The sequence below is a fragment of the Homo sapiens genome, chromosome 3 (genome assembly GCF_000001405.40).
Source record: "Homo sapiens chromosome 3, GRCh38.p14 Primary Assembly".
Classification (NCBI taxonomy): Eukaryota; Metazoa; Chordata; class Mammalia; order Primates; family Hominidae; genus Homo; species Homo sapiens.
In genome coordinates, this window is record NC_000003.12 from 128625869 (window position 1) to 128652959 (window position 27091).

Consider the following 27091-nt stretch of genomic DNA (forward strand, 5'->3'; position numbering starts at 1 on the left):
CTCACCACAATGTCCTGAATGTGCTGTTCTACCAGATTTTTCTTGTAGGCAACAATCACAGGGCGGCCAAATGTGTCCAGATAGGTGTAGTGCAGCTCATCTGGGGCACGGCTGATTTCATAGGGACTATCAATTTCAATGTTCCTGGAAGAAGATGGGAATAAAATATAGCCTCCAACCAACTACATCAATAAACCAGATTTAGGATCAGAGAATTCCAAGGCTAAGGAGCCTTTCAAGATCACTAAATTCACACTCCTCCACTCTGCTCCCTTCTCAGCTATGGAGAACACCCACTCTCTTGAGACAGGGGAGCCAGTGCCAGAAAGCCCTTTGTTTTAAAGCCCTTGTCTGCTGGGGCAACAACTGTCCCTCTGAATCCTCCACTCCCAAGTTCTCACCAGTACTGGCCCCACTCCTTGGAGTCACAAAGTTGACACAGCTCTCCTGTACATCCTACCCAGTGAATCCCTGGGAGGCTTGAACAGATGCCTCACGAGCTGTTCTGAATGTTCTTTCTCTTCACATGAATAAGAGCTTCTTACGGGGCAGGGGACATGTCCTGCTTTTGTCTGCCCAGGCCCACTGTCCCTTCTCCTGGTAAACAGCACAGCCTGGATTTGCATGAGGAACTACTCTTCCACTATGGAACATTCTCCACAGGAAGAAAATCAAGGGGTCTCTCATTCTGGCAGTCAGAGTGGACATGTGACTCAAGAGAGGCCAAGTAGATGTTCCCTGATAAAGTAAATCTAGAGAAAAGTGACACAAAGACTGTGCCCCTAGAACATAGGCTCTCCTTAGGGTACCACAAGGGTACAACCAGAGAAATCGGGTGCAAAGGAGAGGAACAGTCACACTCACTTGGCTCCTTCAGGCAGGATGATCTTCACAGTCAGAGAATCTATCACTTGTTCATCAAACACATGGTCCACAAACCTCATCTTCAGTGCATACTGGTCACCTGAAGGATCAAGCAAGCATAAGCAATGATGTGGAAAACGGATCAAATGGGCAGGAGAGAAAGAAGTACAGGGGCTCACATAAAGACAGAGCAAGTAGACAGCAAAACCAAAAACCCACGGACCATGTTTACAACAAAACCAGGCAACAAAGTATCTCTACTGAACCCCACAACACAGAGACAGGGATGGGGGTCAAAACACCGACAGCCACAAGACCTTCACGTTATCAGTGTCTGTGAAGGAGAACGCAGAGAGAAGAAACAGGGCAACTGATGGGCTTGAGAACAGCAGAACCCCAAAACACACAACCGGGATTCCCTAGAGAGCACAGCAGGCCAGTGTGAGGAGTGGCTGAAACTCGGAGCAGTTGTGCCCTGCCTAATGGTGAGTGAAACGGGCCTGCAGAAGGTCTACGAGTCTGCAGCAGTCTAGTCCCTGAGAGCAGAACTCCCCTTCTGGGACAGTGCCCTACAGTGAGGAGAAACTGCTCAACACAATCAAAAATGAACATGATAGGGACAATGGAACTCAAAAACCGCACAGAGGAAAGCTCAGAAAGCAAGCCACATGTTTTTGCACTAAAATAGCAGAGATCTGGGAAGGTACAAAAGCCACTCTAAACCATCCCTCCTTCGGAAAGGTCACATTAAAAATGATCAACAGACAGTGGCTCATGCCTGTAATCCCAGTACTTTGGGAGGCAGAGGCAGGCAGATCACCTGAGGTCAGGAGTTCAAGACCAGCCTGGCCAACATGGTGAAACCCCATCTCTACTAAAACTATAAAAATTAGTCAGGTGTGGTGGCACATGCCTGTAATCCCAGCAACTTGGGAAGCTGAGGTAAGAAAATCACTGGAACCCAGGAGGTGGAGGTTGCAGTAAGCTGAGATTGTGCCACCGTACTCCAGCCTGGGAAACAGTGCAAGACTCCATCTCAAAAAAAAAAAAAAAAAAGATTAAGTTATATAAGAAAAATGGGATGAAAACAAGAACACCCCTGTAAGAAAATGAAAACATGCCAGCAAGACGCCCATAAAAACGAACCAGGAGACTGCTCCTGCTATTCCAAAACAAGCTAAAGGTATTAATAAAATCATGTAAGTCATGCAAGAACAATGTAAACAATAATTAGAAAAATTCAGGCCGGGCGCGGTGGCTCACTCCTGTAATCCCAGCACTTTGGAAGGCTGAGGTGGGTGGATCACCTGAGGTCAGGAGTTCGAGACCAGCCTGGCCAACATAGTGAAACCCCATCTCTACTAAAAATAAAAAATTAGCTGGGCGTAGTGGTGCATGCCTGTAGTCCCAGCTACTCCAGAAGCTGAGGCAGGAGAATCTCTTGAACCCAGGAGGCGGAGGTTGCAATGAGCTGAGATCGCGCCAATGCACTCCAGCCTGGGAGGTTACAGTGAACTGAGATCGCTCCACTGCACTCCAGCCTGGGCAACAAAGTGAGACAGAAAAAAAAAAAAGAAAAATTCAGAAAAATGATAGAAATCAGGAAAAAAATTTAGAAATAAAAGAGGCATTTTAGGAATTAAGGCTAATTAAGATGGATTAGAGTGAATAACAACAAATAATAATGCTTTAACATAAATGCAAAGAAAAGCAACTTTAATTATTTTTTAGAGACAGGGTCTTGCTCTGTCACCCAGGCTAAAGGGCAACTTCCTGGACTCAAGTGTTACTCCTGCCTCAGCCTCCCGAGTAGCTGAGACTACAGGTGTGAGCCAGATAATTTTTCATTTTTAAAAATTTTTTTGTAGAGACCCGTTTTCACCATGTTGCCCCGGCTGGTCTCAAACTCCTGAGTGCAAGCAATCCTCCCACCTCAGCCTCCCAGAAAAGTTTTAAATGAAAAAACAGGCCTGGCACAGTGGCTTACACCTATAATCCCAGCACTTTAGGAGGCCAAGGCGAGCAGATCACTTGAGGTCAGGAGTTCAAAACCTGCCTGACCAACGTAGTTAAACCCCATCTCTACTAAAAATACAAAAAATAACCAGGCATGATGGCGGGTGCCTGTAGTCTCAGCTACTCGGGAGGCTGAGGCAAGAGAATCGCTTGAACCTAGGAGGCAGAGGTTGCAGTGAGTGAAGATCAAGCCAAGAAAAACAGATGTAGGTATTAACTGCAGATTAATAGATAAGGCAAATTGAATAGATTGAAAAGGGCAAAACTAAGGTATAGTATGTAGAGATATACACTTGGGTGATAAAACTACAAAGATATTCAAGAAAGTGATTACTCAAAGTCGGGGCAATGACTTTGAGAAGGAAGAGGTACATGGAACACTTTTTGAGTAGCTAGCAAATTTTGATTTCTTGACAGGAGGGGGTGGGGAGCGGCACAAGGTCTTCCTCATAATAATTCACTGAGCTATACATTTTTTGTATGGTTTTCTGTATCTTATTTTTCAGTAAAAAGGTTTAAAAAAAAGACTTGGCCGGGCATGGTGGCTGTCACCTATAATCCTAGCACTTTGGGAGGCCGAGGCCTGTGGATCACCTGAGGTCAGGAGTTCAAGACCAACCTGGCCAACATGGTGAAACCCCATCTCTACTAGAAATACAAAAAATTAGCTGAGCGTGGTGGCGGGCACCTATAATCCCAGCTACTCAGGAGGCTGAGGCAGGAGAATCGCTTGAACCAGGAGGTGGAGGTTGCAGTGAGCCAAAATCGCACCATTCCACTCCAGCCTGGGTGGCAAGAGTGAGATTCCGTCTCAAAAAAAAGAAAGACTTGAAAGAAAATATGACAAAATGTTTTCAATCATTAGTTCTGGGTGTTCATATAAAAGTGTTTTTTATTATTCTCTGAATTTTCATTTTTTAAATAACTCAAAAACTATTTAAAGGAATTTCAGCGGTTCCATCTGATGACAGAACTGCAAGTAAGAAGAAGACTTTTACATACTGTTCGGATTGACTATCAAATGCATGTATTACTTTTACAATACTAACTCGTACCCACTTATAAAAAGTTGTTCCTGATAAAACCAGCCTTCCTCAGAATGACAAATGAACACACCCCATCTATAAAGACTGATAATTGAAAGAAAAAAATTCACGAAATTAAAGAAAAGGTTAGTTTCTCCCTTACTATTGAAGACTGACCCAAATTATAGAGGTACTCATAGCTTGGGAGGTTGTAGCCAACGATGTAATGGGTCTTCCACCCGCCAAAGAGAGGGAAGCGAGGCCGGATTTCCATCTCTACAGAGTCATCCAAAATAAGGAGGTGGCTGGTAGAAACATTGCCAATCTCATCCCGGTAATAAACATCCTGGGCAGCAGCAGGAAGGATGGTCTGCAAGAGAGTGGATATGCCCTTCTAAAACTCCAGGAACCAGCTGAGAGGAAATGATCCTAAACACAGAAGACTTCCTGCACCAAGATCCTCACATGGTACTACTTAATTAAAATAGTCCCCAAACATAAACAACCTAAAAAAGTCTAACTTTCCCCACAAAGGTTTGCGTCGACTTCTCAATCAAGGGTGCTAACTACCCAAATTCTTCTAAACAGTAAATAATTAAGGGAAATGCAAATACCTTTGTGAACATTGAAGACTTAATACAAAGGTAAAAATAATCTTGCAAGTTATTTTGCAGAGAAGAAAAGTAAAGATAGAAGACGGAAGAAATTTCATCAAATTACTAGGTGGTAGGGTTACAGAAAGGGTTTTTCTACCTGATATACTTTATTGTATCTTCCAAATCTGTCAGTGTATTTTGATCATGGGAGGAAGGTATAATACCTTTGTTCACATACTGACCCCTTCTATCATACATAAGTAAAAAAAAAAGTTTATAAGATTTCATTTATGGGACAAAAAAGATTTAAAAACTGTATATGCAATATGATAAAATGTTTTTTAAAAACACTACAAAAGAACAAAGAAATAGATCAAAATGACAGCTGTGTTTGGGTGGCGCAGTACTATGAATATGCTTTTCCTTTTTCTATTCAAATTTTCACTTAAAAAATATGGTTTAGGCCGGGCACGGTGGCTCACGCCTGTAATCCCAGCACTTTGGGAGGCCGAGGCGGGCGGATCACAAGGTCAGAAGATCGAGACCATCCTGGCTAACATGGTGAAACCCCGTCTCTACTAAAAACACAAAAAATTAGCTGGGCATGGTGGCGGGCGCCTGTAGTCCCAGCTACTCGGGAGGCTGAGGCAGGAGAATAGCATGAACCCGGGAGGCAGAGCTTGCCGTGAGCCGAGATCGTGCCACTACACTCCAGCCTGGGCAATAGAGCGAGACTCTGTCTCCAAAAAAAAAAAAAATATATGGTTTAGGCTGGGCATGGTGGCTCACGCCTGTAATCCCAGCACTTTGAGAGGCCAAGGCGGCCGGGCGCGGTGGCTCATGCCTGTAATCCCAGCACTTTGGGAGGCCGAAGTGGGCGGATCACCTGAAGTCAGGAGTTCGAGACCAGCCTGTCCAACATGGAGAAACCCTGTCTCTACTAAAAATACAAAAAAAAATTAGCCAGGCTTGGTGGTGCATGCCTGTAATCCCAGCTACTCGGGAGGCTGAGGCGGGAGAATTGCTTGAACCTGGGAGGCGGAGGTTGTGGCGAGCCGAGATCGCGCCATTGCCCTCCAGCCTGGGCAACAAGAGCAAAACTCCGTCTCAAGAAAAAAAAAAAAAAGAAAGAGAAGCCAAGGCAGGTGGATCACTTGAGGCCAGGAGTTCAAGACCAGCCTGGCCAACATGGTGAAATCCTGTCTCTACTAAAAATACAAAAATTAGCCAGGTGTAGTGGTGCATGCGTGTAATCCCAGCTATTCAGGAGTCTGAGGCAGAAGAATCACTTGAACCCAGGAGGCGGAGGCTGCAATGAGCAGAGATCACGCCACTATGCTCCAGCCTGGGTGGCAGAGTGAGACTCTGTCTCAAAGAAAAAAAAGAAAATGGCTTATCTATATATATGGGGGGGTATTTTTTAAGATTCTGTTGGTTTCTAACACTGCCAATCAACAAGATGAACATCAGTCAACCCTAAACAACTGCCTAAATATTTAGCTAGTTTCGAAAAGCAAAGAATAGGTAGCTGTGATAAAGTCCTCATTTCTCACAATGTCCAAGTTGAACATTCCATACCTTAAAAGAACGGATGGAGGATATTCCACTATCTGGCTGTCTCTGGTAATCATAGCGTGAGAAAGGCCCCTTAAGCACAGCTCCTGTGTGCTTTAAGTCCACATTTTCTTCCACAGCAATATTACCCCAGTGAGAGACTTCAATGACTCGGGTCATGCTGGTGATGGTCAGGAAAGGGCTGTTGTTCTCATAATGTACTTTAAAAGTATCCTGGAAGGAAGGAAACAAATAGTTCAAAGTTTTGGCAACAGAGAATGCACCATTAGTTTAAATCAGATTGATTGGAGACAACCTATATATCAGCAACAGAACGGGTAAATTATGATGTATCTAACGTATGCAACATTTTAAAATTATGTTTACTAGGACTTCTTGCTAACATATGGGAATAAATATTCATGATATATTATTAACTCAAAAAATAGGACACAAAAAAATAATGTGTCTGGAGCTGATTGTATTAGGCAGTTTTGTAAGAGTTCTAAATAAGTGCATTATCTCATCTCATTCTCAAGACAATATGATGAAATAAGAACTACTTATCCCCATTTGACAAATAAAAATTTCAAGCCCTGGCAGTTTCCAATATCTTGTTCAAGGTCATAAACCTAAGTGGCAATACAAGGTCTGCTAAGTTCTGACTTCACTTTTTTTTCTTTCTTTTTGAGACAGAGTCTTGCTCTGTCACCCAGGCTGGAGTACAATGGTACAACCTCAGCTCACTGCAACCTCCGCCTCCTGGGTTCAAGCGATTCTCCTGCCTTAGCCTCCCTAGTAGCTGGGATTACAGGCGTGTGCCACCACATCTGGCTAATTTTTGTATTTTTAGTAGAGATGGGGTTTCACCATGTTGGCCAAGCTGGTCTCGAACCCCTGACCTCAGGTGATCTGCCCACCTTGGCCTACCAAAGTGCTGGGATTACAGGCATGAGCCACCGTGCCCAGCAAGCCATCGTGCCCAGCCCGATTTCACTCTTCTATGTGGTAAATACTACCTCTCAATAAGGCCCAACACACCTTGCTTCCCAAAAGTCCATGAAAAGGACAAGATCTATTTTGTTAGCTCTTACAACTAGTTTATTCGCTAGTTTATTCACTCATTCTATGACTAGATTTTTAAAACTACAATTCACTCATAATCATATTTGATAGCATTTAATGCCAGTACAAGCAAGGGCATAAGGAAACCGGCAGTTTCACACACTGGAATCCTAAAAAATTGATTAAATCTTTTGAAAAACTACTTGGCAAAATACAGCAAGAGGTTTTTCTTTTTTTTTCTTTTTTTTTTTAAATTATAAACGGTCTCACTCTGTCACCCAGGCTGGAGTACAGTGGCACAATCTTGGCTCAATGCAGTCTCAACCTCCTGGGCTCAAGCAATCCTCCCACCTCAAGCCCCATGAGTGGCTGGGATTCCAGGTGCATGCCACCACGCCCAGCTAATTTTTTGTATTTTTTGTAGACATGGAATTTCACCATGTTCCCCAAGCTGGTCTCAAGCAATCTACCCACCTTGACCTCCCAAAGTGCTGGGATTACAAGCATAAGCCACTGTGCCCAACCAGCAAGAGATTTTAAAATGTTCATATCCTTCAATTTGAAAAACATTACTTCAGAAAATCCTGAGAATACAAAAATTCATAACTTTTGTATAATATGCAGAGATGTATATTATAATATTAAATAGAAAAAAACTGTTTAACTATAGAAACTTGGCAAATAAGCTCTAGGACATCAAATCAGTGAGTCAGCCACTTAAAAACGGTTTACAGGCTGGGCACAGTGAAACTTTGGGAGGCCAAGGCGGGCAGATCACAAGGTCAGAAGTTTGAGACCAGCCTGGCCAATATGGTGAAACCCCGTCTCTACTAAAAATAGAAAAATTAGCCAGGTGTGGTGATGGGCGCCTGTAGTCCCAGATACTAAGGAGGCTGAGGTAGGAGAATCGCTTGAACCCGGGAGGCGGAGGCTGCAGTGAGCCGAGATTGTGCCACTGCACTCCAGCCTGGGCAACAGAGCGAGACTGTCTCTCAAAAAAAACAAATAAACAAACAAAAACAAAAACAACAAAACAAAAAAACTGTTTACAGGCCAGCCGGGCACAGTGGCTCACACTTGTAATCCCAGCACTTTGGGAGGCCAAAGTGGGTAGATCACTTGAGGTCAGGAGTTTGAGACCAGCCTGGCCAACATGGTGAAACCCTGTCTCTAACAAAAAATACAAAAATTAGCCAGGCATGGTCGCACATGCCTGTAAGTCCCAGCTACTGGGGAGGCTGAGGTGGGAGAATCACTTAAACTCAAGAGGCAGAGGTTGCAGTGAGCTGAGATTGCACCACTACACTCCAGCCTGGGCGAGAGTAAGACCCTGTCTTAAGGAAAAAAAAAAAAAGGTTGACAAAGGTAATGTAGTAATATGTAAAATGTTTAGAGAATATTCTAAGTGGCAAAGGTATTACACAATACTTTATACATAATATGACAATAAGCATAATAAGTACATTAAAAAGCCCTATGCTTAGACACGACTCAGGTACTAAAATGTCCATAGTGTCGATAGTGGTTGTGAACTGACCTCAAATCTTCCTTTTTGCCAAATGGTCTCCATAAACCTTTTTTTTTTTTTTTTTGAGACAAACTCTCACCCTGTCGCCCAGATTGGAGTGCAATGACGCGATCTTGGCTCACTGCAACTTCCACCTCCCAGGTTCAAGTGATTCTCCTGCCTCGGCCTCTCAAGTAGTTAGAATTACAGGTGCACGCCAGCATGCTCAGCTAATTTTTTTATCTTTAGTAGAGACGGGGTTTCACCATGTTGGCCAGGCTGGTCTCGAACTCCTGACCTCGTGATCCGCCAACCTTGGCCTCCTAAAGTGCCAGGGTTACAGACCTGAGCCACCGCACCCAGCCTCTCATGAACGTTCTATTAACTTAAAATGGAGGAAAGTGGAAAACCCCAAATATTTATATTTTTAAAAGCCTGCGTAGAGGAAAATCAAATCAGTGTCCCAACATGAACTCTCACTCAGTTTGAAGTAAGTAAAAGAAATCATGCAGTTAGAGAAAGCACAGCTCAGAGTGGCAAGGCTGTCATCTTCACAGTGGGCACGTGGGCCCTGGGCACTCTGCAACCACAACAGGAGGCACAGAGACCCTCTCTCTCCCCAAAAACAACCCCACCGTGCAACAATATACATAGGGAGCTATGTTTTGAGACATGGAGGAATATAAGTATGTTTACTACAAATCCTCATACATTTAGAAGGAAACACTAGAAGAATAAACCTAAAGCTAACATAAATGGTTACCAAGGAGAACAAATGAATGGGAGAATTGGAAGCAAGAATTCTCTATTATTTTTTTTTTTTGGAGACAGAGTCTTGCTCTGTTGCCCAGGCTGGAGTGCAGTGGCACAACCTTGGCTACCGCAACCCCTACCTCCTGGGTTCAAGCAGTTCTCGTACCTCAACCTCCCTAGTAGATGGGACTAGAGTTGAGTGCAACTACACCCAGCTAATTTTTGTATTTTTAGTAGAGATGGGGTTTCACCACGTTGGCCAGGCTGGTCTTGAACTCCTAGCTTCAAGTGATCTGCCCGCCTCAGCCTCCCAAAGTGCTGGGATTACAGGCGTGAGCCAGTGCGCCTGCCCCTATAACTTGAGATATATATATATATATATATATATATAGATATATATATATATATATATATATAGATATCTATAGATATCTATAGATATACACACACACACACACACACACACACGTGTATATATAAAAAACAAAATGGTACACCTGGCCTTATATATATACGTGTGTGTATATATATAAATATATAAGTGCACTTATATATATAAGGCCATATATACATATATATATATGCACCTGGCCTTTTAACTTGTTATATAAAACTTGTTATGTATAATTTTGTTACATACAACTTGTTATGTATGATTTTGTTACATACAACTTGTTATATATGATTTTGTTACATACAACTTGTTATATATGATTTTGTTACACATAACTTGTTATATATGATTTTGTTACATATAACTTGTTATATGATTTTGTTACACATAACTTGTTATATGTAATTTTGACTACGAAATCATGTTGTTTTCATATTCAAAAAATTATGTTAATAAAAAGTTCTTAAAAGTTTAAAACAACCCAAAACGAACAGCCCTAACTATGTATCAAACTGACATTTGAAACATAAAAAACAGGCTGGGCGCAGTGACTCACACCTGCTATCACAGCACTTTGGGAGGCCGAGGCAGGCGGATCACCTGAGCTCAGGAGTTCAAGACCAGCCTGGCCAACATGGAGAAACCCCGTCTCTACAAAAAATACAAAAATTAGCCAGGTGTGGTAGCGGGCACCTGTAATCCCAGCTACTCAGGAGGCTGAGGTAGGAGAATTGCTTGAACCCAGGAGGCAGAGGTTGCGGTTAGCTGAGATCGCCCCACTGCACTCCAGTCTGAATGACAGATCAAGACTCCTTCTCAAAAAAAATAAAATAAAATAAAGACAAAAAAAAAAAAAGAAACAATTATTTCAAGTAGCATTAGAACAAAGTATTTTGATTGCACATCCTTGGTGACACATGTTCTAAACACACAGAGAGATGCAAAGACATCTTTTTTTTAGAGTGGGGTGGTGCAATCATAGCTAACTGCAGCATTAACCTCCTGGGCTCAAGTAATCCTCCCACCTCAGCCTCCCAAGTAGCTGAGACTACAGGAGTGTGTCACCATGCCCAGCTTATTATTTTTTGTAAAAATGAGGTCTCACTATGTTGCCCAGACTGGTCTTGAATTCCTGGGCACAAATAATCCTCCCATATTGGCCTCCCAAAGTGCTAGGATTATAGGCATGAGCCACTGCACCCAGTGCAAAGAAATCTTAAACGTCTAAAATACCCATATTTTTTAGAGATGGTATAGAAGTAGGTAAAAAGACATGACTGCTGAGATTTGCTTTAAAATCCTCTAGCAAAAAGGCCAGGGACCATGGCTCATGCCTGTAATCCCAGCACTTTGGGAGACAAAGGCAGGAAGATCACCTGGGCCCAGGAGTTTGAGACTAGCCTGGGCAATAAAGCAAGATCCCGTCTCTACAACAAAAATAAAAAATTAACTGGGCATGGTGACGCACACCTGTCACTCCAGCTACATGGGAGGCTGAGCTGGGAGGATGGACTGAGCCCAGGAGTTTGAGGTTACAGTGAGCTATGATTATGCCACTGTACTCCAGGCTGGGCAACAGAGCAGGATCCTGTCTCTTAAAAAAAAAAATTTTTTTAAGTACTCCACCAAAGAAAAAAAGAGGTAGGTTAATTATGGTAACCTGATAACCGCTGAATCTAAGTGACGTGTGTGGGAGTTTATACTAGTCTTTGTACTTTGGCATGTTTGCGATTTGCCATAGTAACAAAATCTTTGTAAGCCTTAATTGCTCCCTCTCTCTTCAAGTTCCAACCAAGGCCCAACATTCAAGGAAGGCCCTCAACCACTCCAACAGCTTTGCTACCCCAGTATCTGCCCAGCCACACCATCTCAAAGCCTTTGTCCCTCTTACTGCCTCTGCGTGGAATGCCTTGCTTCCATCTCCAACACCCATTCCACCTCTCCAAATGCTACCCCTAGCCTCTACCTGTGATCCCCCAAGGAGAAACAAGACCCCCATGGAGTCATTTCACTGCAGGTTAAACACTTTTGGGATGACCTTAGAAATGACTGCAGATTTCATCCACCCCACACCACCCAAGCCTATCAACCAGTAGTCACTCTGCAAGACATTCTCTGAAGCAGACAGGGATGGGCTGGACTCCACCTGAGCTTACCTGACTATAGGCAGGCACATCTCTGAAAGGCCCATAATCCAGTAGGTCCTCAGAGCGCGTGGGGTTCCCCAGCTTGGTGTAGCTCTCCACATTTCGAGAGGCAAGCTTCACACGCATGGTTTGTGTCTTCGTTGGATAGGGAGAGTAGAAATAATGGTTCCCCTCAAACACCACAAACTGTTTCTCTGACTGGGTGATCTGGGTTGGATACGGATGAAGCACATGGGTGTAGACTGTTTCCACAATGACTGAAATCTTGGCCCCAGGATCAAGAGCAACTGGGAGCTTGACTGTGAAGAATCTCCCACTAAAGGAAGAACAAGGCAAGAGAAGTAAGAGAGACTGAGGATACTGAAAACAGTAGTAGCAGTTCAAAGTCACAACAAAATTTTGAACCAAAGACAAAAGCAATTATCTTTAAGAGATCACCTTTTCCTTTTTGAGATGGAGTCTCACTCTATCACTCAGGCTGGAGTGCAATGGTGCGATCTCGGCTCACCACAACCTCCACCTCTTGGGTTCAAGCGATTCTCCTGCCTCAACCTCCCGAATAGCTGGGATTACCTATTAGAATGTTTTTAACTTTTGTTCCATTGTTGAACATTTACACTGTTTTACACTCTTGCTATTTATAAACAGCCCTGAGAGAAACAGCTACATATCTGTCTTAGAAGACTTAAATTATTTTTTTCTTTTTTTGAGACAGAGTGTTGCTCTGTCGCCCAGGCTGGAGTGCAGTGGCATGATCTCAGCTCACTGCAACTTCCACCTCCCAGGTTCAAGAGATTCTATTGCCTCAGCCTCCCGAGTAGCTGGGACTACTGGCACCTGCCACCATGTCCTGTTAATAAAAGACTTAAATTACTATATTAAAGGTGATCTCTTGGCTGGGTGCAGTGGCTCATGCCTGTAATCCCAGCACTTTGGGAGGCCAAGTCAGGTGAATTTCCTGAGGTCAGGAGTTCCAGACCAGCCTGGCCAACATGGCAAAACCCTGTCTCTATTAAAAATACAAAAATTAGCTGGGCGTGGTGGTGCACACCTGTAGTCCCAGCTACTTGAGAGGTTGAAGTGGGAGGATCACTTGAACCCGGGAGGCGGAGGTTGCAGTGAGCCAAGATAGCGCCACTACACTCCAGCCTGGGTGACAGAGAGAGACTCCATCTCAAAAAAAAAAATTTTAATAGAACCACACAACAGAATACTGACAGTCGTTAGAAATATGGCTTCACACAATAGAATATTGGCAGTCATTAGAAATATGGCTAACCTACATATCTATATTAACATGGAAAGATGTCCATGTACAATGTAAATAACGAAAATCTGTTTACAAATGACAAAGAATAACTCCATTTAAAAACATACATAGACCCGGGGAGGGTGGCTTACGCCTGTAATCCCAGCACTTTGGGAGACCGAGATGGGTGGATCACGAGGTCAGGAGATCAAGACCAACCTGGCTAACACAGTGAAAGCCCATCTCTACTAAAAATACAAAAAAAAATAGCCGGGCGTTGTGGCGGGCACCTGTAGTCCCAGCTACTCAGGAGGCTGGGGCAGGAGAATGATGTGAACCCGGAAGGCGGAGCTTGCAGTGCGCCGAGATCGTGCCACTGCACTCCAGCCGGGCGACAGAGCGAGATACCGTCTCAAGAAAAAAAAAAAAAAAAAAATGAATGAATGTAAAGAATAGTATTTCAAGGAATGTTCAACAAAATGTTAATGGTAACTGTCTCAAGGTTGTAGAATAAGTTTAGTTTGTCTTTTCCAATTTCATTTTATTTTTTATTATTATTATTTTTTGAGACGGAGTCTTACTCTTGTAGCCCAGGCTGGAGTGAAATGGCACAATCTTGGCTCACCGCAACCTCCGCCTGCTGGGTTCAAGTGATTCTCCTACCTGAGCCTCCCCAGTAGCTGGGATTACAGGCGTCCGCCACCACGCCCAGCTAATTTTTGTGTTTTTAGTACAGAGGGGATTTCGCCACGTTGGCCAGGATGGTCTGAACTCCTGACCTCAGGTGATACACCCGCCTCGGGCTCCCAAAGTGCTGGGATTACAGGCATGAGCCACTGCGCCAGGCCCTAATTTGTCTTATAAGGAGCTTGTATCATCCTCATATCAAGAAAAAAATAAAGCTACTAATATTTTAAAGAAAAACAGATGGCTGACCAGCCTTACCAACAAGGTGAAACCCTGTCTCTACTAAAAGTACAAAAATTAGCCGGGCGTGGTGGCAGGCGCCTGTAGTCCCAGATACTCGGGAGGCTGAGACAGGAGAATTGCTTGAACCTGGGAGGCGGAGGTTGCAGTGAGCCGAGATTGTGCCACTGCACTCCAGCCTGGGTGACGGAGCGAGAATCCATCTCAAAAAAGGAAAAAAAAGAAAAACAGATGGCCTGGAAACTTAAAATTCACAGGGTACTAATTCTAAACTGAATCAGTTTTCCAAGCCAGGAGAACAATTTTTAGAAGACGTAGAAACCACTAGTGAAAAATTGAATTAATAAGCTTCAATGAGTTTGTCCTCAAAGGTGAGAACATGGATCACTCTTCCTGATATGACTTTATAGAACACAAAACTTGCATGTCTTTATCAGTCACACCATTATATTTCATATTACAACTGTGACGTTCACTACTCAAAATATAAGTAGCGGAATCTTCTCCTCAGGACAGTCTTAACCAATTCTTAGTTTCAAGTCCCAAATGTGCTTCTCATCCCACTCTCTGTCCTGAATTCTAAAATCAAATTTTCAAATGTTTACTAGACAGCTCCACTGACCACCCCACATGCAATTCAACAAAACCTTATCATTCATGATCCCAAGTCTTGATCTCTCTTAATACCACTGCCATCTGATCAACTCTAAGCTAGAAACCCAGGCATCTTCTGATGCCTCACTCTGCCCTGTCCCCAATACCTGGGCAATCCTGCCTCAGAAATTCCTCTCAGACCCATCCCTTCCTTTGCCTCCTCCTCCATTCAAACCAATACCATGTGCCTAGACTACTGCATCTCTTCCTATTAATCTCCTAATCTCCCTTCCCCCCAGCCCATCTACACAATCTCAAATCAACATTCCCACATTCATTTTACAAGTTGTTAAATGCTGCCACATAATTTAATTTTGCTTTGATAATTCAGAAGACAAATCAGAACCTTTCAGCACTCCAAGATCATTAGGAACATCAAGTCTTACCAAAATGTGGAAGCACCAGCTAATGAAGGTTTTTCAATCAATAAAAGGCTAGACAACACAGAACTGTCTAAACTGATGTACATGGAGCAGGTCTTTTTTTTTTTTCCTAAAGCTCTTCTCTAGCTGGATCTAATGGGAGAACATTGTGTGAATGACTTGGTTTTTTACTCATGTACTCAAACTGATTTACTGAGAACCCCATATAGGTCAGTTTCTGTGGCAGGAAGAGGTGATAAAGACAAATTCATATAATGTATGCACATATAACTAGAAATGAATAAAATGGTAAGCTATGAAAAAAAATTTTTTAATGTTCCCAACTGTGGGCTTTAAGGATAAAGCCCACGCCTTTAATAATGGTTCAGAGCAGTCCTTAAACTGAACTCAACCCACCCTACACAGCTTCACCTTCCTCTGAGCAAGAGCCACTCTGAAAGCCCAGTTAACTAAACACACCATGAAATGTCAACCCTCCGTATCTTTACAGATATCTCTGCCTGAAATGTTCCTTCCATTCCATTAGCCTTCTTTGTGATTAATTCAAAATTTATTAAGTGCTTACTAAGGCTCCAAGTACATTATATATATATTGATTTAGTGAATCTTTTTTTTTTTTTTTTTTTTTGACACGGAGTTTTGCTTTTGTTGCCCAGGCTGGCAATGGCATAATCTCGGCTCACCGGAACCTCTGCCTCCCGGTTCAAGTGGTTCTCCTGCCTCAGCCTCCCGAGTAGCTGGGGTTACAGGCATGCACCACCACTCCTGGCTAACTTTTTTGCATTTTTAGTAGAGATGGGGTTTCTCCATGTTGGTCAGGCTGGTCTCGAACTCCCAACCTCAGGTGATCTGCCTGCCTCGGCCTCCCAAAGTGCTGGGATTACAGGCGTGAGCCACCACGCCTGGCCAATTTAGTGACTCTTAGCCATGATCATATCAGGTAAACACTATTATTTTACTGATGAGGAAACTGAGGAAAATGCTAGTAAACATAACAGAGCTAGGATTTGATCCCAGGCAGTAAAGATGCAAAAAGCACAGTCCTAATAACTAAGTTACCTTGCCTATCCAAGACGCTACAAGCCAGCAGCTAGAGCCAATAAACACAGACAGGGTACTCAGACAGCCTCAGAGAGGGAGAGGAGTCTCTTAAAGCAAGAGAAAGCAATTTTAATAGCGACTTATTTAAAGCTAACTCTCAGATCTTACAGCCTCGGGGCTGGTGAGATGCCTACTTCATACACTCAGTGGAAAATCAAGATAATCACCAAGAAAAATTGAGATAATCACCACGCATTAAAATGTGGCTCCTGAGAGGATGTTGCTGTACATGAACTCAAAGTAATTCAAGGATTAAACTTAACAACCAAAGAAAGACAACTATGAAGATAACACAGAAAACAAAAAAGGTGGCCAGGTAGTGGCTGATACCTGTAATCCTAGCACTCTGGGAGGCCAAGGCAGGTGGATCACCTGAGGTCAGGAATTCAAAACCAGCCTGGCCAACATAGTGAAACCCTCTCTCTACTAAAAATACAAAAAAATTAGCTGGGCGTGGTGGTGAACACCTGTAATCCCAGCTACTCGGGAGGCTGAGACAGTAGAATCACTTGAGCCTGGGAGGCAGAGGTTGCAGTGAGCCAAGATCGCACCACTGCATTCCAGCCTGGGTGACAGACCGAGACTCCAACTCACAAAAAAGAAAAGAATAGATATACTCACATACAAGAAAAAAAGGGGTCAGGCGCAGTGGCTCACAACTGTAACCCAACACTTTGGGAGGCCGAGGCGGGTGCATCACCTGAGGAGTTCGAGACCAGCCTGGCTAACATGGTGAAACCCCATTTCTACTAAAATTACAAAAAATTAACTGGGCGTGGTAGCACGCGCCTTAATCCCAACTACTTGGGAGGCTGAGGCAGGAGAATCGCTTGAACCCCAGAGGCGGAGGTTGCAGTGAGCCGAGATCACGTGCCATTGCACTTCAGCTTGGGCAACAAGAGGGAAATTCCGTCTCAAAAAAAAAAGAAAAAAGAAAAAAGGGCCAAGAGCAGTGGCTCACACCTGTAATCCCAGCACTTTGGGAGGCCAAGACGGGCAGATCACCTGAGGTCAGGAGTTGGAGAACAGTCTGGCCAATATGGAGAAATCCCATCTCTACTAAAAATACAAAAAGTAGCCAGGTGTGGTAGCGGACGCCTATAATCCCAGTTACTCAGGAGCCTGAGGCAGGAGAATCGCTTGAACCTAGGAGGCTGAGGTTGCAGTGAGCCGAGATCACGCCACTGCACTCCAGTCTGGGCAACAAGACCAAGACTCCATCTCCAAAAAAAAAAAAAAACAAAGATAGGTAGGATCACACAGTAATTGAAACTATGGGGCCAGGAGTGGTGGCTCACACCTGTAATCCCCGCACTTTGGAAGGCTGAGGCAGGCAGATCACCTGAAGTCAGAAGTTCGAGACCAGCCTGGCCAACATGGGGAAACCCGTCTCTACTAAAAACACAAAACTTGTGGGGCACGGTGGCTCACATTTGTAATCCCAGCATTTTGGGAGGCCGAGGCGGCAGATCACCTGAGGTCAGGAGTTCAAGACCAGCCTGACCAATATGGTGAAACCCCATCTCTATTAAAAATACAAAAATTAGCCAGGTGTGCTGGTGCATGCCTGTAATCACAGCTACTCGGGAGGCTGCACAGGACAATCACTTGAACCCGGGAGGAGGAGGTTGCAGTGAGCCAAGATTGCGCCATTGCACTCCAGCCCAGGCAAAGAGAGCGAAACTCTCTCAAAAAAAAAAAATACAAAAATTAGCCGGGCATGGTGGCACACGCCTGTAATCCCAGATACTCGGGAGCCTGAGGCAAGAGAATCACTTGAACCATCGCACCACTGCACTCCAGCCTGGGCAACAGACACTGTCTCCAAAAAATAATAATAATAATAACTAATAAGTTCCAGGCTCCACGCTAGGTGCTGAGGTCTGAGCAAACAACTATGCAAGTTTAACCCCACCCAGCCTTCACAGTAGGCCTTCAAAGAAGTTACCACTTTGAATGCCCTGAAGGCTTAGGGGTGAGATATCCAGGGGGAAGGTTGTCTGCCCCATGGAAGCAGAATGGTAGCCAATCATAGATAGGAGAATACTTGCTGAGGCAAACAGCTTGGAGTTCTCACATAAAGCTCTGTGGAACCAGGAGGGAGAACTGATCTGATATAGAAAGTAACTACTTTCTTCCTATAAAACAAACTGCCACTGCTTAGGGGAATCCAATTTCAGCATTAGTAATGAGAAGTCATAAATGAGTCCAGAATATATTACAGCATGTTGCTTATTATCACATACATTAATTAAAACATCCTCGGTGGGGCGTAATGGACTCACGCCTATAATCCTAGGACTCTGGGAGGCAAAGAACTGCTTGAGGACAGGAGTTCAAGACCAGCCTGGGTGACATGGCAAAACCCGGTGTCTACTAAAAATACATACATATACACACACACATATTAGCCAAGTGTGGTGGTACATACCTCTAGTCCCACCTATTTGGGAGGCTGAGGGAGAAGGACGGTTTGAGCCCTGGAGGTGGAGGTTGCAGTGAGTCAACATGGCACCACAGTAATGGAGCCTGGGCAACAGACCCTGTCTCAAGAAAAAAAAAAAAATCCTCTAGGACAGATGCAGTGGTTCACACCTGTAATCCCAGCACTTTGAGAGGCCAAGGTAGAAGGATGGCTTGAGCTCAGGAGTTCAAGACCAGCCTGGGCAACATAGCTAGACCTCCTCTCTACAAAAAAAAAACCCTGTAATAAAGCAGGCACTTCCTAAGCAACTCTCCTAGTTTATGATCCCATATGATCCCAACCCTGACATAACCTTTAACAAGAGACAAGGTATATTGTTTGTCAGCTTACCTTTTACCCTTAATTTTGGTTTCACGTACTTCCAAATTGTTCTCTTCCTCATCTTCTCCCTTTACCTACAACAGAAAAAGATAGTTTATTATTCATGTCTTTTGGCTTCTAAATTTTGAGTCAATAATTAACCAAGTGCTTTAGAACATCCCCATTAAAGCAGTCAAACTATCAGAACTTTTTAGAGATTGAATTTTCTTTTCAGTAACAATTTTTTTTTCTCTGAAACACAAGAATATTGTCAAAGACTTACTTTTACAAAGTGGCATATGGCCAGGCGCAGGGGCTCACACCCGTAATCCCAGCACTTTGGGAGGCCAAAGTGGGCGGATCACCTGAGGTCAGGAGTTCGAGACCAGCCTGACCAACATGGAGAAACCCCATCTCTACTAAAAATACAAATTAGCTAGGCATGGTGGCACATGCCTGTAATCCCAGCTACTCGGGAGGCTGAGGCAGGAGAATTGCTTGAACCCGGGAGGCAGAGGTTGCAGCCGGCTGAGATGGCGCCATCACACTCCAGCCTGCATAACAAGAGCAAAATTCCATCTAAAAAAAAAAAAGTGGCATAAAACCGCTATAAATGCGTAACATTTTCCTGAATGATGAAATACACACAGCTGGGTGTGGTAGCTCACACCTGTAATCCCAACACTTTGGGAGGCTGAGGCGGGAGGATCACCAGGTCAGGAGTTTGAGACCAGCCTGGCCAGTATGGTGAAACCCCGTCTCTACGAAAAATACAAAAATTAACCAGGCGTGGTGGCGCTCGCCTGTTGTCCCAGCTACTAGGGAGGCTGAGGCAGAACAATCACTTGAACCTGGGAGGCAGAGGTTGCAGTGAGCCGAGATTGCACCACCACTGCACTCTAGCCTGGGTGACAGAGCGAGACTCTGTCTCAAAAAAAGAAATACACACATACACAAAAAGATTACACTTCCAAATATACTTCCCAAAGGCCTCTTTCTTGATGCTTTTCTCATTTACATTCAAATAAGCATACTCAAAGAAATGTATTTAGTGATGTAATAGAAAAGTCTCAGGGCTGGGCGCAGTGGCTCACACCTGTAATCCCAGCACTTTGGGAGGCCAAGGTGGGCGGATCACGAGGTCAGGAGTTCAAGACCAGTCTGGCCAATATAGTGAAACCCCATCTCTACTAAAAAAACAAAAAATTAGCCGGGTGTGGTGGCGTGTGGAGGCTGAGGCAGGAGAATTTCGTGAATCTGGGAGACGGAGGTTGCAGTGAGCTGAGATCGTGCCATTGCACTCCAGCCTGGTCGACAGAGTGAGACTCCGTCTCAAAAAAAAAAAAAAAAAAAAAAGTCTCATGGGTTTTTATTTTTGTAGAGACAAGATCTCCCTATGTTGCCCAGACTGGTTTCGAACTCTTGGGCTCAAGCGATCCTCCCACAGATTACAGGCACGAGATACCACGCCCAGCCTAAAACTGTTTCTTCACTAATATAAAAGTTAAAACTGGGCAGGCATGGTGGCTCACGCCTGTAATCCCAGCACTCTGACAGGCAGAGGAGGGGTGCGGATCACCTGAGGTCAGGAGTTCGAGACCAGCCTGGCCAATATAGTGAAACTTCATCTCTACTAAAAAATACAACAATTAGCTGGGCGTGGTGGCAGGTGCCTGTAATCCAGCTACTTGGGAGGCTGAGGCAGGAGAATTGCTTGAACCCAGGAGGTGGAGGCTGCAGTGAGCCATGACCATGCCACTGCACTCCAGCCTGGGCGACAAGAGTGAAACTCCATCTCATAAAAAAAAAAGTTGGCCGGGTGCGGTGGCTCACACCTGTAATCCCAGCATTTTGAGAGGCCAATCACCTGAGGTCAGGAGTTTGAGAGCAGCTGGCCAACATGGTGAAACCCCATCTCTACTAAAAATAAAAAAATTAGCTGGGTGTGGTGGCAGGCACCTTTAAGGCCAGCTACTTGGGAGGCTGAGGCAGGAGAATCACTTGAACCTGGGAGGCAGAGGTTGCAGTGAGCTGAGATCGTGCCACTGCACTCCAGCCTGGGCAACAGAGTGGGACTTCCTCTCAAAAAAAAAAAAAAATGGTTAACAGTGGCAAAATACCCTTGGGGAGGAGCCAATGACCACTGTTTGGGGTACCCTCACAGCAACAAGATACATAACCAGGAAAAGGATGTTCACTCCAGCAGGCTGCAGGGGTTTTCTGAGAAAGAGTAGTTATCTCCAATCATAAGACTGTGGAGCAGACTGCAAGGGAGAAGGGTATACATATCCCACTGATCTCTCTGCCAACCCACCCTCAACTGAAAAAAACAAAAATTAGACTATCTTTTAGGACTGAAGTAGTGATTCCCAGTAAGATACAAAAAGCTGTATTGGAGAACTTTTAAAATATATCAAAAAGCCTAAAAACAATCATACAATCATCCTCAATAAAGCTGTACAGTCTAATACAAACAAGTTTCATTACTTTGACTAGAATCTTATCACAGTGGGAATATTCCAGCCAGGCCAAGTGCAGTGGCTCACACCTGTAATCCCAACACTTTGGGAGGACTGCTTGAGGCTAGGTGTTGAAGACCAGCCTGGGCAACACAGCAAGACCCCATCTCTGAAAAAACAAAAAATTGCTCTTAATTAGCCAGGCGTAGTGGTGCGCACATGTAGTCCTAGCTACTCAGGGGGCTAGGTGGGAGGATAGCTTGAGCCCAGAAATTCGAGGCTGCAGTGAGCTCTGACTGGGCCACTGTGCTCTACCCTGGGGAACAGATTGAGAACTTGCCTCAAGAAAAAAAAAAAAAAAAGGAACATTCTAGTATATGTGTGTGTATCAGGAACTCTCATTGTGTTCAGTTATACAGACTTATTTGTTTTATTGAAAAATATTGTTACTTAATAAAATATTAGCATGCCAAAATATTTCAGATACAGGATCCAAAAGAGAGGAAAAATCATTAGATGGGTCCTTGGTGGTAAAAAGAGAAGCAACCACTGGCTCCTAGTCAGTAACCACCATGGTCCCTTCTGCTAGCTCCTAAAATTCTACAAGGGTTTGAAAATAACCCACTGAAGGCCAGGAATGGTGGCTCACGCCTGCAATCCCAGCACTTTGGGAGGCCGAGGCAGGTAGATCACCTGAGGTCAGGAGTTCGAGAGCAGCCTGACCAATATGATGAAACCCTGTCTCTACTAAAAATACAAAAATTGGCCGGGCGCAGTGGCTCACACCTGTAATCTCAGCACTTTGGGAGGCCGAGGTGGGCGGATCATGAGGTCAAGAGATCAAGACCATCCTGGCCAACATGCGTGAAACCCTGTCTCTACAAAAAAAATACAACAATTAGCTGGGCGTGGCAGCACGCGCCTGTAGTCCCAGCTACTCCGGAGGCTGAGGCAGGAGAATCACTTGAACCTGGGAGGCAGAGGTTGCAGTGAGCCGAGATTGCACCACCGCACTCCAGCCTGGCGACAGAGCAAGACTCTGCATCAAAAAAAAAATACAAAAATTAGCCAGGCGTGGTGGCATGCACCTGTAATCCCAGTTACTCCAGAGGAGAGACAGGAGAATTGCTTGAACCCAGGAGGCAGAGGTTGCAGTGAGCCAAGATAGCGCCATTGCACTCCAGCATGGGCAACGAGAGTGAAACTCCGTCTCAAAAAAAAAAAGAAAAAGAAAAGAACCCACTGAAAAACATTTCAGCAACCTCATCAGTTTCCAACACAACTGTTGGAAAATATACATCTCCTTGTTAAGTTTATCATCCAGTTGTTTCCCACTGGGATAGGAGTACAAAATAGCACATATATCCATTTAACTGGTGTCTTGGACTACAAAATTGAAAATGATTTTAAATAAATCTGTTAATGTGACTGCAAGTCTTATACCCAATACAATCCTATCTCACAGCCATAAAAGCCAGAAGAGGCAACATTATACAGTGTGAGAACACACAACTTACGGAATAAGCTGGAGCCCTGACTTACTCTGCACTGTAAGACCGCATGTAAGGGGCTAAATAACTTAACCTGACAGACTACAGCCTCCTTGCCTGCTATATGAGGATTTATACCTTAAATGGTTGCTATGAGGGCTAAATGAGAATATATTTAAAATACCCACCATAATATCTGACACACAGTAGAGTCCCAGTAAGAAAGTATCTTACCACAGAAACAAACAAACTAAAGGACAAAAGGAAACTTCTGGAGGTGACAGATATGTTTATTACCCGGATTGTGGTAATGGTTACACCAGTGTATACGTATTTTGAATATACTAATAATAGGCAGTTTTTTGTATACCAATTATACCTCAATAAAGTTGGGAGAAAAAATAAAAACAAGATAAAATAAGTACATTAACCTAGCTCGCAGGCATGATGGCAGGATAGCCGAGCTCCTGCTGTGGTCCACTTATACTGTAACAAGCTCATTAAATCACAACTGGCTTCTATAAAGAACGGGATTTAACATTCAAGACATTCAAAGATGGCAAGGCAAATTTACATGAAGTTTTGATCTATCTTTCCACAAGCCTTTGAGTAAAACTTTATTTCATCATGGACAACGCATGAAAGAAAATAGGAGTCATTTCAGAAACGTAATCTCTATAAACCCATCTTTATAGCTCCATATTCAGTCAGAGAACGAAGTGTGCTTAGAAGAAATGTGACACTATAATGACTATTCTCTCAACAAATAATTAGGTAATCATTTAATGAAATTGTTTAACAACAATAGTAATAAAAACCAAACCTCTGTGTATGTACATTCCCTTTACTCCCAAACCCAACATTTTCTTTGGTGATCACTGAAATACCTGGAAACATTTAAGCCAAACACAGCCATTTATTGCCGAGGTGTAAGAATGAGAAGCAGCAGGGGGAAGGGAGAAAATTGGACTTTCCTTTTCTGTACAGCATAAGAGAACTTATATTACGTGCAGGAGTTTTAAAACTAACTTTAAAAAGAGTTTTAACATTTAGAAAGCGTTCACTAGGAACCTTAAAATGCATCACATTCATAGGGATTTCAAGTGATTACCAACTTAAAAATGCGAAACCTGTTACATTTCTGATGGTTCTCTATGTCTAGAAAGAAGCACCTACAACGGACCAGATACTGAATTAAGAGAATGAAATTCACTTTAATTCATTTATTTGTCCTCTACTTGAGCCACCTCGTCGGGCCGTGAGAAATGAAGTCTGGCGCCCGCTGGCACCGGGCCGAGGGGCTGCCGCGCTCGCCTTACGGAAGGGAGGTGCGTTCTACCGGCCCGAGGTCTCCCGAGCGGTGCCGAGAACGGCCCAAACAGGGGCAAGCTCCGAGGCTGGTCGGCCGCGGATCCCAGCAGCTGCCCACGTGAGCAGCGACCCGCGCGGGGGCAGGCCGGTGCTGACGTGGCCCAGGCAGGAGGGCGGGCGCGCACCGGGGGCAGCGGAGGCGCCGGGGCCCCTGGCCACCCAGGACTCCTCGCGGGCCCCGAGGCAATCCCACGGACCCCCTGTGCCCCGCCCGCCGCCCGGGTCTCCGCATTTCCTGAGGCCTAGAGGGGCGCGGGCGGAGTCGGGGGACCGCCAGGAAGGGAGGCGGGAAGGGTCCCGGGAGCGGCGGCGAGGGGTCGCCCACACTCACCTGCACGCCCAGGTGCGCCAGCCGGGCCTCGAGCTCAGGCTCCAAAGCCAGCAGGAAAGAGGTAGCTCGGGACGTGGAGCCGCCGCCCAGGTGCGCCAGGACCACCTCGGCCGTCACCTTAGCCAGGTGGCTGCTTAGGTCCACTGTGCGCTTCACGTCCTCATTGATCAGCGGCGGTGCCTCGGAGGAGGCGCTGCCCGGCGCCGGGGCCCAAGTCCCAAGCAACAGGAGCAGAAACAAGCCGGCGGCTGGCGCCTCCATGACCGGGAAGAGCAGTGCGCCAGGGCGGGTAGGGCCCGGGCGCGGTAGCCCGCCCTCCCGCCACTGAGCAGCCGTTCATTGGGCAAGGGCTGGTGACACAAGATGGCGGCGCCGAACAAGGAAGGACCCTGTCTCCGGGGCAACCGGGAAGCCGACCCGGCGCCTGATTGCTAAAGCCCTCTCAGAGCTGCTCGGGATATCCTTCTGTTCGTAGTGCGAGTGTACTTACTTTTTTTTTTTTTTTTTTTTTTTTTTTTTTTTTTTTTTGAGACGGAGTCTCGCTCTGTCGCCCAGGCTGGAGTGCAGTGGCACGATCTCAGCTCACTGCAAGCTCCGCCTCCCGGGTTCACACCATTCTCCTGCCTCAGCCTCCCGGGTGGCTGGGACTACAGGCGCCCGCCACCACGCCCGGCTAATTTTTTTTTATATTTTTAGTAGAGATGGGGTTTCACTGTGGCCTCCATCTCCTGACCTCGTGATCCGCCCACCTCGGCCTCCCGAAGTGCTGGATTACAAGCGTGAGCCACTGCGCCCAGCCGCGAGTGTACTTATTATTACTAGTTTTCACTTACCTAATTTTTACAGGAGCGGCCCTTGCCTAGGTCTCTACTCTCTCCTACCATTCTTCCTGTCCAATAATTCTGCTCGTTTTGCTCCTTAAAACAGTGAAATTTTGCTCAGATTGAGAAAGTAAAAGTTGGCCTTCCCCAACATCCACGGATGAATGCTAAAATTAGTAGGCAGAACTTGAAGCCGAAACAGGATATATGCAAAGTTTCAAAACATCTCTACTAAAATGTTTAGTAATTAGGCCGGGCACGGTGACTCACGCCTGTAATTCCAGCGCTTTAGGAGGCCGAGGCGGGTGGATCACCTGAGGTCAGGAGTTCGAGACCAGCCTGGCCAACATGGTGAAACCCCGTCTATACTAAAGATACAAAAAATTAGCCGGGCGTGGTGGCAGGCGCCTGTAATTCCAGCTACTTGGGGTGGCTGAGGCAGGAGAATCGCTTGAACCTGGGAGGCGGAGGTTGCAGTGAGCTAAGATCGCGCCATTGCACTCCAGCCTAGGCGACAGGGTGAGACTCCTTCTCAAAATAAATAAATAAATAAATAAAATAAAATTAGCCGGGTGTGGTGGTGCGTGCCTGTAATCCCAGCTACTCCAGAGGCTGAGGTACCAGAATCATTTGAACCCGGGAGGCAGGAGATGCAGTGAGCCAAGATCGTGCCACTGCACTCCAGCCTGGGCGACTGGGCGAGACTCCCTCTCAAAAGGAAATTAAAAAATAAAAATAAAATGTTTAGTAATTACAAAGGAAAAAATAGTTTACAGTGGAGAATCCTGGCAGGCACCACTTTAAACAAGTGATCAAAGTTAACATCACCACATATAAAATATAGTAACATTAGGTATCTACTAATAGGATCCATTGAGAAAGGCACATCACTTCTGTGGTATTGCCACAAAATTATTGAAAATCCATTACCTCAATCTAGTCATAAATATCAGACAAGGCCAGGCACAGTGGCTCATGCCACCAATCCCAGCACTTTGGGAGGCCAAGTAGGGAGGATCCCTTGAGCCAAGGAGTTCAAAACTAGACCGGGCAACAGGGTAAAACCCCATCTCTACAAAAAATCAAAAATCAGCCGGGCCTGGTGACAAGTGCCTGTGTTACAGGAAAGGGGTCTGGATCCTGACCCCAAGAGAGGGTTCCTGGATCTCACGCAAGAAAGAATTCAGGATGAGTCCGCAGTGCAAAGTGAAAGCAAGTTTATTATTTTTTATTTTATTTATTTATTTATTTGAGATGGAGTCTCGCTCTGTTGCCCAGGCTGGATTGCAGTGGCGCAGTCTTGGCTCACAGCAACCTGTGCCTCCCGGGTTCAAGCAATTCTCTGCCTTAGCCTCCCAAGTAGCTGCGATTACAGGCGCCCGCCACCACGCCCGGCTAATTTTTGTATTTTTAGTAGAGACGGGGTTTCAACATCTTGGCCAGGCTGGTCTTGCACTCCTGACCTCGTGACCCACCTGCCTCAGCCTCCCAAAGTGCTGGGATTACAGGCATGAGCCACCGCCCCCAGCCAGCAAGTTTATTAAGAAAGTAAAAGAATAAAAGAATGGCTACTCCATTGACAGAGCAGCCCGAGGACTG

The 27091-nt window shown here is 45.0% G+C and overlaps 1 protein-coding gene across 1 annotated transcript in view, besides 6 other annotated features; it reads right to left on the minus strand.

Moving 5' to 3' along the window:
* The window catches only part of RPN1 (ribophorin I), a 30850-nt gene extending 5900 nt beyond the window's left edge, over window positions 1-24950 (minus strand). Inside the window, exons 1-7 of the mRNA NM_002950.4 lie at window positions 24672-24950; window positions 19051-19115; window positions 11931-12237; window positions 6080-6289; window positions 4083-4275; window positions 865-964; window positions 6-144 (exon numbers count right to left, since the gene is read on the minus strand). Coding sequence (NP_002941.1) covers window positions 6-144; window positions 865-964; window positions 4083-4275; window positions 6080-6289; window positions 11931-12237; window positions 19051-19115; window positions 24672-24932 — 1275 coding nt within the window. The 5' untranslated portion in view covers window positions 24933-24950. The remainder of the gene's footprint in view (window positions 1-5; window positions 145-864; window positions 965-4082; window positions 4276-6079; window positions 6290-11930; window positions 12238-19050; window positions 19116-24671) is intronic.
* Window positions 19060-19561: an enhancer, noted in NCBI's record as "H3K4me1 hESC enhancer chr3:128363771-128364272 (GRCh37/hg19 assembly coordinates)". NCBI's record gives its function as "activates a minimal SCP1, AML or CMV promoter by ChIP-STARR-seq in naive H9 embryonic stem cells {active_cell/tissue: H9 hESC(naive)}" and the evidence as "EXISTENCE:reporter gene assay evidence [ECO:0000049][PMID:30033119]".
* Window positions 19562-20061: an enhancer, noted in NCBI's record as "H3K4me1 hESC enhancer chr3:128364273-128364772 (GRCh37/hg19 assembly coordinates)". NCBI's record gives its function as "activates a minimal SCP1, AML or CMV promoter by ChIP-STARR-seq in naive H9 embryonic stem cells {active_cell/tissue: H9 hESC(naive)}" and the evidence as "EXISTENCE:reporter gene assay evidence [ECO:0000049][PMID:30033119]".
* Window positions 24174-24243: an enhancer, noted in NCBI's record as "active region_20487". NCBI's record gives its function as "activates an Ori minimal core promoter by ATAC-STARR-seq in GM12878 lymphoblastoid cells {active_cell/tissue: GM12878}" and the evidence as "EXISTENCE:reporter gene assay evidence [ECO:0000049][PMID:35858748]".
* Window positions 24394-24663: a silencer, noted in NCBI's record as "silent region_14709". NCBI's record gives its function as "represses an Ori minimal core promoter by ATAC-STARR-seq in GM12878 lymphoblastoid cells {active_cell/tissue: GM12878}" and the evidence as "EXISTENCE:reporter gene assay evidence [ECO:0000049][PMID:35858748]".
* Window positions 24914-25183: an enhancer, noted in NCBI's record as "active region_20488". NCBI's record gives its function as "activates an Ori minimal core promoter by ATAC-STARR-seq in GM12878 lymphoblastoid cells {active_cell/tissue: GM12878}" and the evidence as "EXISTENCE:reporter gene assay evidence [ECO:0000049][PMID:35858748]".
* Window positions 25344-25423: an enhancer, noted in NCBI's record as "active region_20489". NCBI's record gives its function as "activates an Ori minimal core promoter by ATAC-STARR-seq in GM12878 lymphoblastoid cells {active_cell/tissue: GM12878}" and the evidence as "EXISTENCE:reporter gene assay evidence [ECO:0000049][PMID:35858748]".